Source organism: Homo sapiens, chromosome 16 (genome assembly GCF_000001405.40).
Source record: "Homo sapiens chromosome 16, GRCh38.p14 Primary Assembly".
Classification (NCBI taxonomy): Eukaryota; Metazoa; Chordata; class Mammalia; order Primates; family Hominidae; genus Homo; species Homo sapiens.
Window position 1 is genome coordinate 66,762,912 of NC_000016.10, and position 15,779 is coordinate 66,778,690.

A 15,779-nucleotide genomic window follows, 5' to 3' on the forward strand; every position below is an offset into this window, starting at 1 on the left:
GGCTCAAGTGATCCACCTGCCTCAGCCTCCCAAAGTGCTGAGCTATAGGCATGAGCTACCACCACACCCGGCCAGGACTCCTTTTTGTAAACAGATAAAACTATTATGACACCTAAAAATTCATGCTTAATATAATCTAACATCTAGTGTTCAATTTTCCCTATCAATTCAAAAATTTCTTTTGAAAGTTGGTTGTTGGAATCATGATCCAAATAAGGTTCATCATTACTTTTTTTTTTTTAAGAGACAGGGTCTCACTATGTTGCTCAGGCTGGACTTGCACTCCTGGGCTCAAGCAATCCTCCCACCTCAGCCTCCCACGTAGCTGGAACTACAGACACACGCACCACTGTGTCTGACTTACATTCGGTTAACATATGTCAAGGTGCTTTTAATCTACCAGTTCCCCTCTCTTCCTTGTCATTTACTTACTGAAGATACTAGGTCATTTGTACTATAGTTTCTCAAAGGCTAAGTTTTGCTGATTGCATCCTAGTTGTGTCCTTTAAAATGTTGTTGTGTGTCCTATAAACTAGTAATTAAATCTAAATGATTGGTCAGATTCAGGTTCAAGTGTTTTTACTAGAATTCCATGAAGGTAGTATTGTATGTTTCTTACTGTATCATATTAAGAGGTACATATTGTCCGTCTCTCTCTTTTTTAAAAAAGAAATTGTAATTGGGCAGCCTCTTGAGCCAATAGGGTTAGAAAAACTCCCTCTTTTTTTAAATATTAAGATAGATCAGCAGCAAACCACCATGGCACATGTTTACCCACGTAACAAACCTGCACATCCTGCACACGTATCCCTGAACTTAAAATAAAAGTTGGAAAAACATTTTTTAAAAAAAGATAGATTGGTAGGTTCAGGTAATGTCAGCCATGTCCATCCAGTATAAAGTTCTCCATCAGTTTGTCACCTAATTGTATTAGTGGCCCATTCCTAAAGGACTAGAAGTTGGCCACGCAGATAGTTGGCTGAGATGAAGACATTTCAGTACAATAAAGATGTGCAAAACCACTGAAGTGTGAAAAAGCATAGTATTCAGAGCATCATGGACACTCTAATATGGCTAGAGTACAGAGAAGTATGGGAGAAAAGCTGGGGATGGGAAGGGTTGCAGGGAACGAGACCAAGAAAAGTCTTGAAAGCCATGCTAAGGAATTTTAACTCTTCAAGGCAACAGGGAGGAACATAGAGATACTTATTAAAAGCAGGAAGATGACACGATTTCATTTGTCTTGTAGAAAGGGCACCTGAAGGCAAGAGGATCAGTTGAGAGGTTACTTTAGTAGTCCGCAAAATAAATGAAGGGATTTTGAAACAAGGCATTTGCGGGGAGAATGGGGAGATTTCTGAGGTAAAATTAGCAGGGTTTGATGAATAATGAGCTGTTGGGATAAGGGAAACGTTTAGGATAATTCTCAAGAAATTCAGTACTTGATCAAATGGCAAAGTTTGAAATAACCATAGCACATTTCTAGCAGATTCAGAGTAAATGCACAGTAAAATTTAACAAGTGGAAGCAGGACAAAATTCCACAAAACTTTGAAAGCCAGGCAGAGAGGTTGATTCAGTGGGTTACAGAGAAGCACTGAGGGTTCTTTAGCATGATGACACGATAAAGCACATATTAAGAAGATAAGTTAACAGTGATATGCATATTATACTTGGGAGTTGGAGAGGCTTGAGACAAAGACTGCTAGAAAATTGCTGCGATAATTTAGGCATGAAACAAAAAGGGCCTATGTGGCAAAAAAGAACAAAATTTGATAGACTAGAAATAAGGGACGGAACGAGAGAGAACAGTCATGGATGATTCAAGGCTTAAAGTCTGGGAGACCAGACAAATAGTGGCAACACTGACAGAAATGCAGTGAGTTGGGAGGCCAATTTAAAAGGAAGAAAGATGCTGTGGATGTTGTGTTTAGGATACATTAAGCTTAAAGTAACAAGAAGATATTGAAGTGGGTATGTGCTGAGAACTACTGGAAATGAAAGAATAAGGCTATAGCCCACGTTAGAAGCCAAAAGTCAAGATACATATTTGAAAACCATCAATAAAATGATAGATGATGCTACAAAAGTAAATGTAGTGAAAGAACTGCGTAGGTGCTATAGACTAGGTCTTGAGGAGAATACTTGTGGCAATCTGGCAGGAAGAGAGAGATAAAGGTGAAGACTGAGTTCTATTCATCTTCGATTCCAGTGCCAGCCAAGGACTAAGCACTCCATAATGTTTGTGGAATGAATGAATGGTAACTAGGGGAGAAAGGAACAAGGAAATAACCATCTCATACAAACTAAGCAATTACAGAACATCCACTTTGCCACCTAGAATACTTTTGACCAGAGATTCCCAAACTTTCTAGGTTCATGGCACCTCTAAGCCAAAAGAAATGCCTAATGATTCTGTCAGATCCAAGACAACTTAATAAGTATTTATGTTCTAACAACTTAGTAGCCATTTGAAAAAATAATACAATTAAACTGAAAGAAATATTTGTACTTTTTTATTCTTATTAAATACATTTACTTTCTTTCTTTCTTTTTTTTTTTTTGGAGACAGAATCTCGCTCTGTCACCAAGGCTGGAGTGCAATGGCATGATCTCAGCTCACTGCAACCTCTGCCTCCCAGGTTCAAGCAATTCTCCTGTCTCAGCCTCCCGAGTAGCTGGGATTACTGGCTCATGCTGCCATGCCCAGCTAATTTTTTGTATTTTAGTAGAGACGGGGTTTCACCGTGTTGACCAGGCTGGTCTTGAACTCCTGAGCTCAGGTAATCCACCCGCCTCGGCCTCCCAAAGTGCTAGGATTACAGACATGAGCCACCACACCCGGCCTAATACATTTACTTTCTAATGGTATATGTGCATCTGCTGGGAGGAGTGGATGAATAATTGAAAGGATAGCAAATCAAACAAACTATTGGGTATTTTTTTTTTTTTTTTTTTTTTTTTTTTTTTTTGAGACGGAGTCTCGCTCTGTCGCCCAGGCCGGACTGCGGACTGCAGTGGCGCAATCTCGGCTCACTGCAAGCTCCGCTTCCCGGGTTCACGCCATTCTCCTGCCTCAGCCTCCCGAGTAGCTGGGACTACAGGCGCCCGCCACCGCGCCCGGCTAATTTTTTGTATTTTTAGTAGAGACGGGGTTTCACCTTGTTAGCCAGGATGGTCTCGATCTCCTGACCTCATGATCCACCCGCCTCGGCCTCCCAAAGTGCTGGGATTACAGGCGTGAGCCACCGCGCCCGGCCGGGTATTTTTTTAAGATGAGGAAAAATGAGCATAGTTCAAGGTGGAACAAAAGGAGTTAATGAATAGAATGGAAGTGAAGAGAAAGATTTTGCAATTAGTATTAAAATGTGGAGAAAAAAAAGATATGAGATTCAGCTTATGGCTGGACATCAGTTTTAGAAGAATAGAGATAACCTCTTCATCCAAGAGGGAAGAACAATGATGTTCTGAGCCGAATATAGAGAACCTCAATTTTGTCCATAGAGCAGAGTACAACAGCAAGATGAAAAAAGAGGAAATACCGGGGTGTGAAGGAGGAGGAGAAGGGATGGAATAAGTATTGTGGAACATTTACAAGAGCCCTGCAGAAAAAACAAATAATGAACATGAAACAGTAGAAACATTTACATATTATAAATATAAAAATAGGTATTTTTAAAACTTAATGCCTATGTTTACAGGATAATCCAGAATGCATACCTAGTAATAACGGCTCTCTGAAAACATTAAAAAATGTTTATTTTACTCAGTAAGGTTAAATTCATAGATGGTATTAAGACAAAAAGATAATAAAGTAATAAAAAGGTACTAACTGTGTTTATTCATACATACAAATATTGGAAGCTCAGCCTGATGCTGATAAAAGGTGTTTTTTTTGTTTTGCTTTGTTTTTAATTATAGAGACAAGGTCTCGCTATGTTGACCATGCTGGTTTTGAACTCCTGGCCTCAAGAAATCCTCCAGCCTTGGCCTTCCAAAGTGTTGAGATTACAGCTGCCTCACCTGGCCCAGATAGAAGATATTAATTTGAATGCTTTGATATTCCACAGTATTATTTCTCCAAAGGGAACAAAGTAAATCATACATGTAGAACTATTATAAATTCTAGTTAATTACAATAAGCGTGGTGGCTCATGTCTGTAACACCAGCACTTTGAGAGGCTGAGGCAGGCAGATCATTTGAGGTCAGGAGTTCAAGATCAGTTTGGCCAACATGGTAAAACCTGCTCTACGAAAAAATACAAAAAAAAAAAAAAAATTAGCCAGGTGTGGTAGTGGGCACCTGTAATCCCAGCTACTTGGGAGGCTGAGGCACAAGAATTACTTGAACCTGGGAGGTGGAGAGTGCAGTGAGCCAAGATCGCGCCACTGCACTCCAGCCTGGGTGACAGAGTAAGACTCTGTATCAAAAAAAAAAAAAAATTCTAGTTAATATCATAAAAGGCTTTGACTGTGAAACAACTGCAATTAAAAAAATACTTACCTGAGCACCTATACGTCAACATTTCGGAACAACTGGGAGTTGCTAGAAAACTGACTACTTCTTTATTTATTATATCTGAACATAATGTAAATGGATCTGAAAAAAATTGCAAAATGAAGGATTTTTGGATTAATGAAAAGAATCAGATATTTTCAGGATTTATTAAATATCAAGCTTTTCATAAACCTTAGCCTAGTACTATGCCTCCAGTCATGCTGGTGAATAAACAGAAAGATTCTGGATCTTAATGGAAGGCATTTACAACAGAAAGAGTCAAAGGTGTGGCTTATGCTTTAGAGGGCCAATATAGCAATGGACTTTTTTTTTTTTTGAGATGGAGTCTCACTCTGTCGTCCAGGCTGGAGTGCAGTGGCATGATCTCGGCTCACTGCAACCTCCGCCTCCTGGGTTGAAGCAGTTCTCCTGCGTCAGCCTCCAGAGTAGCTGGGATTACAGGTGCCCACCACCGCACCTGGCTAATTTTTGTATTTTTAGTAGAGACAGGGTTTCACCATGTTGGCCAGACTGGTCTTGAACTCCTGACCTCAGCTGATCTGCCCACCTAGGCCTCCCAAAGTGCTGGGATTACAGGCGTGAGCCACCGCACCCAGTCAATGTGCATTTTTAGCTATATTGGTTACCTAAATATCTGTTTTATTAAAAAACCAAAGAAACATTTTTAATCATACCTGTTACTGGTAACTGCTGCTTTATATTTTTGGCAATGTGAACTGGGTGTTTAAAAACATGGTCACTAAAAGAAAATAGACACCAGATTACTAAAAGTAAACATACTGTTTGGTGTGCGGACCAATGTTTCTGTAAGCAGTGTTGTGATTTTCGGTGTTTGGTGGGCAAAAGCAACCTGGAATCACGATCTACCACAATCTACCAAATTCTGCCAACGTAGGGCCTGCAACAATTACAGCCGTGTTTCTAGAGCTCGAGTCAAACAAGACTCCAGAGGGCAATAGTATTGATGCCAGAAGAAACATGGAAGAAAAAGATTATAAAAAGAAGGAAGTAGGAGAGATGAAGGCAAAAAGGAGAGAACAAAATCAGTGGGAGCAAAAATGAACATGGGTGCAGGATGGCAAAGTGCTAACAACAATCATTTAAAGACCTGAATTTAAAAATCCTTCCTAACCCCCAAAACATTTGTATGTTTGAACCCTGTAGTCCTTGATGAATAAATACAAGTTTTGATTATACTGTCACAATGATTAACAGGCAGTACAGAAAAAGGCAAGAACTGTAGATCAGATAGCAGGCATAGCAGTAGCTTTATAGTTATAGCTATCTGTCCATGTACGTATATTTGTAGGAGCTACTACATAGGAGAAAAAAAGCATTTCAAAGAGATGAAAATATTAATAAGTTGGCTGAGGTAGAAATATGGCTAACCCTAGCCGGGTGCGGTGGTTCACGCCTGTAATCCCAGCATTTTAGGAGGCTGAGGCGGGCAGATCACCTGAGGTCGCGAGTTCAAGGCCAGCCTGACCAACATGGAGAAACTCCATCTCTACTAAAAATACAAAAAATTAGCCGGGCGTGGTGGCACATGCGTGTAATCCCAGCTACTCGGGAGGCTGAGGTAGGAGAATCACTTGAACCCGGGAAGTGGAGGTTGCGGTGAGCCGAGATCATGCCATTGCACTCCAGCCTGGGCAACAAGAGCGAAACTTTCTCAAAAAAAAAAAGAAAAAGAAAAAGAAAAAAGAAAAAGAAATATGGCTAACTCTATAGGAGAAAGAAGGGTATGGGTGGAAAGCTTGGGATGGAGGTCAAGAAGGCTGGCCCAGGACCATATCTTACTGCTTCCCAATTCCCATACCTGAGCAATCAAGTTAAAATTAACATCAAGAATGGTCTTGAAACAGATAAAAGGGGTGGTATTGGTGTAACCCTTCTTCCTGGTACTTAGTTTACCCTTCAACCTGCCCGAAATGTAGCAGCATCCTCTTCATTTTTCCCAAGTACAGTAACCAACAGAAGAGCACAACCCAATAAAGGGTTTAAGAAAAGCTACAATCCCAGGTCTAGCCCCACAAACTAACTGCAAGGGAAAAAGACTATGTTCTAGAGACAAAGTGCAGGGAACAAACAAAAGGGCAAACCCAAACCAAATTTTCTTCACATCCTATTCCCTTTATCACATTAAATTTAAAAACAGTTTTTGCTATACTGCTGATTATCAATGCACGCATTGTTACTTCAAGTAAAGGGTTTCCGTTTAGGTTTTATTTTCTGAGTATCCTTTCTAAAATTCAAATCTGTTACGCCACTCAATTTAAAATCCTCAATCACTCCCTATACCCTGTGAGTTAAAACCCAAAATCCACAGTATGACATTGCAGGGCCCTAGATTAACTGGCCCATACCTCCCTGTCCAAACTCCTTTCCCAACACTTCCTACTTTAGGCTCTTCCCAAGACCATGTTTCATCATGTCACTTCTACATGCCCAATATTTAACAGTGTGGCATACTGTAGTACACAATAAATGCTTGCTGAATAAATAAAAGTTACACACAATTATTAAACTATACCTTGATTGAGAAACAAAATTCTTTTCAAAAGTAGTTTCTTCATGTAAGTTTTGATTGCAGCTTGACTTGGCTTTATATAAAGTCTTATTTTGCTCACTCTCCCTGTAACAAGCATGGACTGGATTTGCGCTCTTTAACGGTGTCTTCATTTGGTCATCATTTGTACATGCTTTAGACATGACTCCATGGGACTTATAACTCTGTAACTGTCTAGAATGGCTTTTATCCTCATCTTCTGCTTTGCTACCTCGACCAATCCGATCTGCATGGAGATGTTTCCATGTATTCTGAATACTTATGTTCATAGATGAAATATTATCCTGATAGTTTTCTCTTTGTATTTCTTCCTATAGTGTAAAAATGACAAATAATTTCAATATAATCCATTCCCTTTATAATCCAATTTATACTTCATTTAAATAATGAAGAATGAAGAAAAAGTTTATGATTGCCAATAGAACATATATGATAAAAGGCAGTTTACATTAGGAAGAAAAGGGAGTTTATTCATTAAACAATATTGGGACAATTGGGTAGCCATCTGGTGAAAAAATAAGTTGAATACCTCACAGCTTATACAAAGATAAAGTCAAAATGAACCAAATTTTTAAATATAAAAACAAAGTCATATATGTTCTAAAAGAAACCATTATATTTTAATATTCTTAAGGGGTATAAGACCTTTCTAAGTATTACCCAAAATTAAATAATAAAACAAAACTAATATACTCGACCACATAAAAAAAATTTTTTTTAATTCTTCTAGAGACCAAAAACGTTATTCTGGGCAGGGATCTCAGGAATAAAGAACCAGAAGCAAAACCAAATGACAATCAAAACACCCAGAAATAATATGTATAAAGCATATATCTTAAGCAACAGGATATACATATATATATATTTTTTGAGACAGGGTCTTGCTCTGTTACCCACACTGGAGTGCAGTGGCATGATCACAGCTCACTGCAGCCTCGACTTCCTGGGCTGAAGCAATCCTCCCACCTCACCCTCCTGAGTAGCTGGGACCACAGGCATACAACACCACACCTGGCTAATTGTGTATTTTTTTGTAGACACAGGGTTTTGCCATGTTGCCCAAGCTGAAGGATAACTTTTAAAAATAACATTTATAAAAAGCTACTATAATGAAATATGAAAAAAGATCAACGATAGCATGGAAAAGCAGGCACAGAAGATGAACAGATAGTTTATAGGAAAGGAAATATTAATAGCTCTTAAACACAAGAAAAAATGTTTCATCCCACTTAAGATAAATAAATATTAAAGCTACACTGAGATATTTTTCTTCATCTATTACACTCACAAAGATCAAAACGCTGTGGGGAAACATGTACTCTTAAACATTGCTAGTGGGAGTGTAAGTTGATACATCTTCTGTGGTGAAACAATTTGACAGTATCTTTCATAACAAAAACTATGTCTATCTAGGTATTTGAGAGGTACTATTATTTTCTCCATTTATCGATGATGAAACTAAAGCACAAAGAGATTAAATAACTTGCCTAAACTTTCCCTAAAGTTCACAGCATCCATGAATTTGGGTATCTGTGGGAGGTCCTGGAACCAATCCCCCATAGATACCAAGGGTTGACTGTACTTTAAATGGGTGAACTGTACGGTATGTGAATTATATCTCATTAAAGCTGTTACAGAATACACACACACACACACACACACACACACACACACACACACACGGGTACATGTGTAGCAGGTATTTAGAGTTGTTTGCAATGGTAAAAATTTAAATATAACTTACATGTCCATCAATAAAGGACTGGTTAAATCAATTATGGCACATCTGCAATAGTGAATACTACTCAGACAATTAAAATAATAAAATCACTATATTATACTAACTTGGACACTATGTTTTGATTTTTTAACACATATGCATATACAAAAACACAAAGCATGCATACATAGAAAAATATATTTATATAAAGAGGAAAGAAGTTATTAGATTATTACTACTTTTCTCTTTCTTGAACCCCAATTATTCAGATGTTAGATCTCTTGGCTCAATATTCCACATTTCCTGTCTTTTCAGTCATCATTTCTACTTTTTAAAAATCTTTTATTGTTGTTTTATGTCAAAGCATGATTCTTCCAGTATTACTATGGAGTTTTCCATTTAAAACTATTTAAAACTTTAAAAAATAACTTGGGAAGAAAAAATTTTTTACCCTCCAACCTCTACTGTTAAAAAATATTGGCTGGGCATGGTGGCTCATGCCTGTAATCCCAGCATTTCGGGAGGCTAAGGCAGGGAGATCACTTGAGGTCAGGCATTCAAGACCAGCCTGGCCAACATGAGGAAACCCTGTCTCTACTAAAAATACAAAGAAATTAGCCGGGTGTGGTGGCGCACATCTGTAATCCCAGCTACTTGAAAGGCTGAGGCATAAGAATCACTTGAACTTGGGAGGCGGAGGTTGCAGTGAGCCGAGATCGTGCCACTGCACTCCAACCTGGGCAACAGAGCAAGACTCTGTCTCAAAAAAAATTAACAAAAAATTTATATGTCAGTGTAGTATGGAGAAAAAAGAAAGAAATTTTAAAAATTTGAAAAAAGTTCTATATTCTTTAAAACAAAGAATCCAACCTCATTTCCTTCTCTTTCAAGCTGTTCTATTCTGTGTAGAATTTCCTTTGCTTTCCTCCAGTGCTCTTCAAGATTATTCTCCTTCACACTTATGTCCTTTAATTGCTGTGTTTCATTTTCATCAAAAGGATATTCTCCTAGACTTAGAGATAATTTCTCAGCTTTGTAGTATGGGAAAAAACAATGAATGAAAAGTTATTTAAACACTTTATATATAAGGACAACTTCACAGCCCACCCTCTCCTTTCTCTAAATTTTTCCATCCAGACTATCTTAACAGCTTAATTGGTACTGAAAAGTAAGTGGAAGATTATCTAGCAGAGGCCCAGGACTCAAACAGTCATAAATCAGACTTTACTCTTCAGAGTTACAGGAGAAAAAACATGCAAATATGTTATGCCAGACACATAAACACCCTCAGGTACATGGATACTGGTTTTAAAGTAGTTAGTTTTTTAGGCCCGGCACAGTGGCTCACACTTGTAATCCTTGCATTTTGGGATGCCGAGGCGGGAGGATCACTTGAGGTCAGGAGCTCAAGGCCAGCGTGGCCAATATGGTGAAACTCCACCTCTACTAAAAAAAAAAAAAAAAAATTAGCCAGGCATTGTGGCACGCACCTGTATTCCCAGATAATCTGGAAGTTAAGGCACAAGAATCCCTCAAACCCAGGAGGCACAAGCTGCAGTGAACAGAGACTGAGCCACTGCACTCCAGCCCTGGCGACAGAGTGAGACTTCGTCTCAAAAATAAAGTAGTTTTTTTAAAAAAATAATGTTCAAAAATTGATTCCTTCCTATAATCCTTTTTTTTTAAACATACTGTGTCTGCAGTTTTTCTTCCACAAAGATCAAAATTCTCATCATGGACACTGCCCTCTGAGCTCAAGCTACACTGGCCATCAATTCCTTAAGTGCACCAGGTTCCCTCCTATCACAGGGCCTTTGTGCCTCACTGTTGCTTATGCTTGAGACACTCACTGATAACAAATTCCTTTCTTTTCACCTAATTAACTCTAGACATTCAGTTCTCAGCTCAAGAATCACTTCCTCCCAATGCCTTTTCTGCTCCACGTCTAGACCAGATTCCTTTGTTATAGGCTCTTAAAGACCTGTGGTCTATCCCTATATATTTGTTATGTCAATTTATAATAACACATAATCTCATTTTTTGAGTTACTGTCTATTTCTGTAGTTAAAACTAAGCTCTGTGAATACACAGACTGTTTTTCATCACTGTATCCCTGATGTCCCTGATGTCTAGCACTCTGCCTTGGCACATAACAGAAACTCAAACTTTTTTTTTTTTTGAGACAGAGTCTTGCTCTGTCACCCAGGCTGCAGTGCAGTGGCACGATCTTGGCTCACTGCAACCTCTGCCTCCCTGGTTCAAGTAATTCTTCTGCCTCAGCCTCCCGAGTAGCTGGGGCTACAGGCGTGCGCCACCAGGCCTGGCTAATTTTTTTTGTATTTTTAGTACAGACAGGGTTTCACCATGTTCGCCAGGCTGGTCTTGAACTCCTGACCTCGTGATCCACCCGCCTAGGCCTCCGAAAGTGCTGGGATTACAGGCGTGAGCCACCATGCCCAGCCCAAACGTTTTTTTTTTTTTTTTTGAGACAGAGTCTTGCTCCGTCGCCCAGGCTGGAGTGCAGTGGCGCAATCTCGGCTCACTGCAAGCTCTGCCTCCCGGGTTCACGCCATTCTCCTGCCTCAGCCTCCCGAGTAGCTGGGACTACAGGCGTCTGCCAACACGCCCGGCTAATTTTTTGTATTTTTAGTAGAGACGGGGTTTCACTGTGTTAGTCAGGATGGTCTCAATCTCCTGACCTCGTGATCCGCCTGCCTCGGCCTCCCAAAGTGCTGGGATTACAGGCGTGAGCCACCGCGCCCGGCCCCAAACATTTTTAAATAAATGAATGTACTTATGATTTAACAATAAGTAACCCTTAGTCCACAAATTTAATTCCTGCAAACTAAATTTGTGCACACGGCATAAAATAGTGAATTATCTATACTGCTGCTCTCTTCCACATGGGTTTGTATATGCTGAATATACCCTAGTTGTCATGTCCAAATTTTATACTCTGATTTTCTTTTTTTTTTTTTTTTTGAGACAGGGTCTCACTCTATGACCCAGGCTGGAGGGCCAGTGGTGCAAACACAGCTCACTGCAGCCTCGACCTGAGCAACTCCTGAGCTCAGATGATCCTTCTACCTCAGCTTCCCAAGTAGCTGGCAGGCATGTGCCACCATGCCCAGATAATTTTTTCTATATATATATTTTTTTATAGAGACAGAGTTTCTCTATGTTGCCCAGGCTGGTCTTGAACTCCTGGACTCAAGCGATCTGACTGCCTTGGCCTCCCAAAGTGCTGGGATTACAGGCATGAGCCACTGTGCAGGGCCTAGTCTGCTTTTCAAATGTAAGAAGAATCTGAGAGCTATAGGGCCTTGGCTCATGAAAGCAGAAATAAATTCTCCTTTATAAACTTTGGTTGGTATGTTCTTAAAGTAATAGTACACTTACTAATTTTTTTGCAGTTGTGAAGCACAAATGTGGCAGCTTTGTTCAGTTCCTCATTCTGCGATTCAGTTAAGGCTTGAATCATGAGTGGAAGCCCATTGTTTTTAAAAAGGTCATACTGATTTTCCTCTGGAAAACATAAACAAAGAGGACAATGTTTTTTATCATAAACTATCTATATGAGGTCATAATTCTTCCTTGTGATAATTATGAACATAGTTCAAAATTTTAAAAATAGGCCAGGAACGGTGGCTCACTCTTGTAATCCCAGCACTTTGGGAGGCTGAGATGGGTGGATCACTTGAGGTCAGGAGTTCAAGACCAGCCTAGTCAACATGGTGAAACCCAGTCTCTATAAAAAATACAAAAATTAGCCAGGCATGGTGGCAGGCACTTGTAATCCCAACTTCTCAGGAAATTGAGGCACAATAACTGCTTGAACCTGGGAGGTGGAGGCTGCAGTGAGCCGAGGTCGCACCATTGTACTCCAGTTTGGGCAACAGAGTGAGACTTTGTCTCAAAAAACAAAAACAAAAACAAAACAAAACAACAACAACAAATTTTTAAAATAGAGAAACACATAGTTTCAAAAGGATTTTTTTTTTTTTTTTTTTGAGAGGGAATCTCGCTCTGTCACCCTGACTGGAGTGCAGTGGCACAATCTTGGCTCACTGCAGTCTCCGCCTCCCGGGTTCAAGCAATTCTCTTGCCTCAGCCTCCCGAGTAGCTGGGACTACAGGCACACGCCACCATGCCCAGCTATTTTTTTGTATTTTTAGTAGAGACAGGGTTTCAACATGCTCACCAAGCTGGTCTTGAACTCCTGACCTCGTGATCTGCCCACCTCAGCCTCTCAAAGTGCTGGAATTACAGGTGTGAGCCACCATGTCCAGCCCCCAAAAGGATTTTTAACATAGAAAATAATTCACTTAAGGCCGGGCTCGGTGGCTCACACCTGTAGTCCCAGCACTTTGGGAGGCCGAGGCAGGCGGATCACCTGAGGTTGGGAGTTCGAGACCAGCCTGACCAACAAGGAGAAACCCCGTCTCTACTAAAAATGCATAATTAGCTGGCCCTGGTGGCGCATGCCTGTAATCCCAGCTACTCGGGAGGCTGAGACAGGAGAATTGCTTGAACCTGGGAGGCGGAGGTTGCAGTGAGCCAAGATTGCACCGCTGCACTCCAGCCTGGGCAACAAGAGCAAAACTCCGTCTCAAAAAAAAAAAAAAAGAAAGAAAAAGAAAATAATTCACTTACACAAAATACCTGTCTCATAAGTGATCTCAGAAACGCAGCCACAGAGTAGTATCATAACTCATAAGAGTCAACAAACTCACTTGGTTTGAAAAAGGGTATAATCAATCCTAAATTACACAGAGGTTAAGGGAAAGAATAGGTAAATAAACTAATGGAGGGAGTAGAAAGTAAGGGAAGGAAGAAAGAGTGGAAGAAGCAAGAGAGAGCAAAGGGAGGAGAGTGGAAAAGTGAGAGTGGAAAGAGCAGAGAGAGATTAGAAGAGAGAGGGGTAGAGAGGAAAGTGGAGAGAATTGGTAAGAAGGAGTAGATTGAACAGAGGGAGAATGGGAGGAAAGTAGAGAGGAGGAGGAAAATAAAAGGGGGAGAAGAAAGAGAAAAGAGAGAGGAGACAGTAATAGGTAGAAAAAGAAAGAATCTTTGAAAGTTTTAACAAGGAGAACAGAATCAGATTTGTGCAGCAATGTGCAGAGTGGGCTGAAAAATGAAGGTAGAAGGGAAGGAGCTTTCTCCCTGTGCTGCAGTGAGAAAACCACTGCAATAATATTGGTGAAAGATGTTGTGGGTTTAAGGGCCTACTTTGGAAGAGCAACATTGGAACTGGACAGAAAGGGATCAAGAGGGGTAAACAGAAGTAGAACTACAGGTCTTAATGACTGACTTAATACAATGAGTGAAGGAGAATTAGGAGCTGAAATGACTAGTTTGAGGTCTGAATGACTAGGAGAAAAGCAATACTTTTAAGACCTTCACATAACTGGAAGAAAAAAAAAAACAGAAGTATATTTCCGCTTTACTATTTTAATAACCACACTCAATAAATCCAATACTTACCACAATCCTCTGTGCAATGACCAAGAGTAAGCATGATGCTAAATTTTTCTCCTGAATCCAGACTTTCATGAAGCAGTAATGCCAGAAGTTTAGAAACAATGTGGTACTTGGAGAGTACTATCCCAAAAGTAGCTATTAGTATAAAATAGGAAAAAAAGATAGTACAAATTTAAAACTTATAAATGTATATATACTATGTATTTTTCAGAGTTTATTCAGGCAGAATGTTATATATCTATATAAAATTAAATATACACATATCATAACATCTAATAAATATGTGTATGTGTGAATATAAATAAAATATAAATTCATTGTAATAAGATGGCGGCCTATTACTATAACCCTCATTACTCTTTCTTCCCATACTAAAGACATATTACTAAAGCAAATTTTTTGAAGAATTTTTTTCTTAATTGTTCTGCAGAATGCTGTGAAGATGAAGTAACACTAACTTCCTAAAAGCTGAGTATGCTTACTCTCCCCTTACATACCTCTTCTTATCTAGATTGGATAGTAAAGACTTTCCTACATAATCAGTTCCTGCTGTCATTTAAAATACACTATTAACTGACCACAGTTCTACTGACTTACTGATGCAATGAAGCATATGCAAAGCTATGCTGAGATGTGACAAAAGTCAAAAAGACCACCATTTTAAGCTATACTTCTCCAAATGTGGCTTTTAACAGAGTTCACCCAGAGTCTAACAATACTAATATCAACAAAAAAGTTGTGAATTCCTGAAGGGACTACATCTTAATCATTTTTGTACTTGTAAAGCTCCACACATAGCAGGTCCTCAATAACCACTTTTTAAAAAACCATCTATTTTTTGCTCCCTAGTTGTTTGTGAATAATAATAGAGTTTCTTACTCTTCAGTGTTTGCGCATGTGAGAAGCAGCAGCCATGAGTTCAAGTCTGGTTCTGCCACTCACTAGTAATGCTGTGTTGGGTAAATCTGACCTCATACTTAGCAGAAAGAGATGTATTCTTTACATAAATTGGGTTTTCCATTCTTAATCTCAAAAATATCCCTTGGTTTCTCATCTGAAAATTTTAAATTTTTTTTTTTTTGAGAGATGGAGTCTCGATATGTTGACCAAGCTGGTCTCAAACTCCTGGCCTCAAGCAATCCTCCCATCTTGGCCTTCCAAAGTGCTGGGATTACAGGTGTGAGCCACCACACACAGCCTGAAATTTTTAATTTAATGCTGCCTTTTTTTCCAGATGGAGTTTTGTACTTGTCACCCAGGCTGGAGTGCAGTGGCATGATCTCAGCTCCCTCACTGCAACCTCCACCTCCCAGGTTCAAGCGATTCTCTTGTCTTGGCCTCCTGAGTAGCTGGAATTACAGGCACCCGCCACCACGTTTGGCTAATTTTTGTATTTTTAGTAGAGATTAGGTTTCACCATGTTGGCCAGGCTGGTCTTGAACTCCTGACCTCAGGTGATCTGCCCGCCTTGGCCTCCCAAAGTGCTGGGAT

General features: G+C 39.6%; 1 protein-coding gene across 18 annotated transcripts in view, besides 1 other annotated feature; it reads right to left on the bottom strand.

The window, feature by feature from the left end:
• TERB1 (telomere repeat binding bouquet formation protein 1) overlaps positions 1–15,779 on the bottom strand; it is a 47,386-nt gene that overhangs the window by 8,272 nt on the left and 23,335 nt on the right. For 15 of the 18 annotated variants that reach the window (XR_007064867.1, XM_047433947.1, XM_011523009.3 and 12 more), the window contains 6 exons: positions 14,292–14,423; positions 12,207–12,332; positions 9,678–9,838; positions 7,052–7,398; positions 5,193–5,257; positions 4,504–4,599 (listed from right to left, as the gene is read on the bottom strand). Coding sequence is in view for 16 of the 18 variants with exons in the window: in XM_047433947.1 (XP_047289903.1) it covers positions 4,504–4,599; positions 5,193–5,257; positions 7,052–7,398; positions 9,678–9,838; positions 12,207–12,332; positions 14,292–14,423 (927 nt within the window). In the remaining 2 variants the exon portion in view is untranslated. Of the gene's footprint in view, positions 1–4,503; positions 4,600–5,192; positions 5,258–7,051; positions 7,399–9,677; positions 9,839–12,206; positions 12,333–14,291; positions 14,424–15,779 lie in introns of those variants that run through there. The other 3 variants (XR_007064868.1, XM_047433956.1, XM_047433957.1) reach the window with 3 other exon arrangements.
• Positions 10,521–10,721: a silencer, noted in NCBI's record as "peak2617 fragment used in MPRA reporter construct". NCBI's record gives its function as "represses an SCP1 promoter by STARR-seq MPRAs in K562 erythroleukemia cells {active_cell/tissue: K562}" and the evidence as "EXISTENCE:reporter gene assay evidence [ECO:0000049][PMID:32103011]".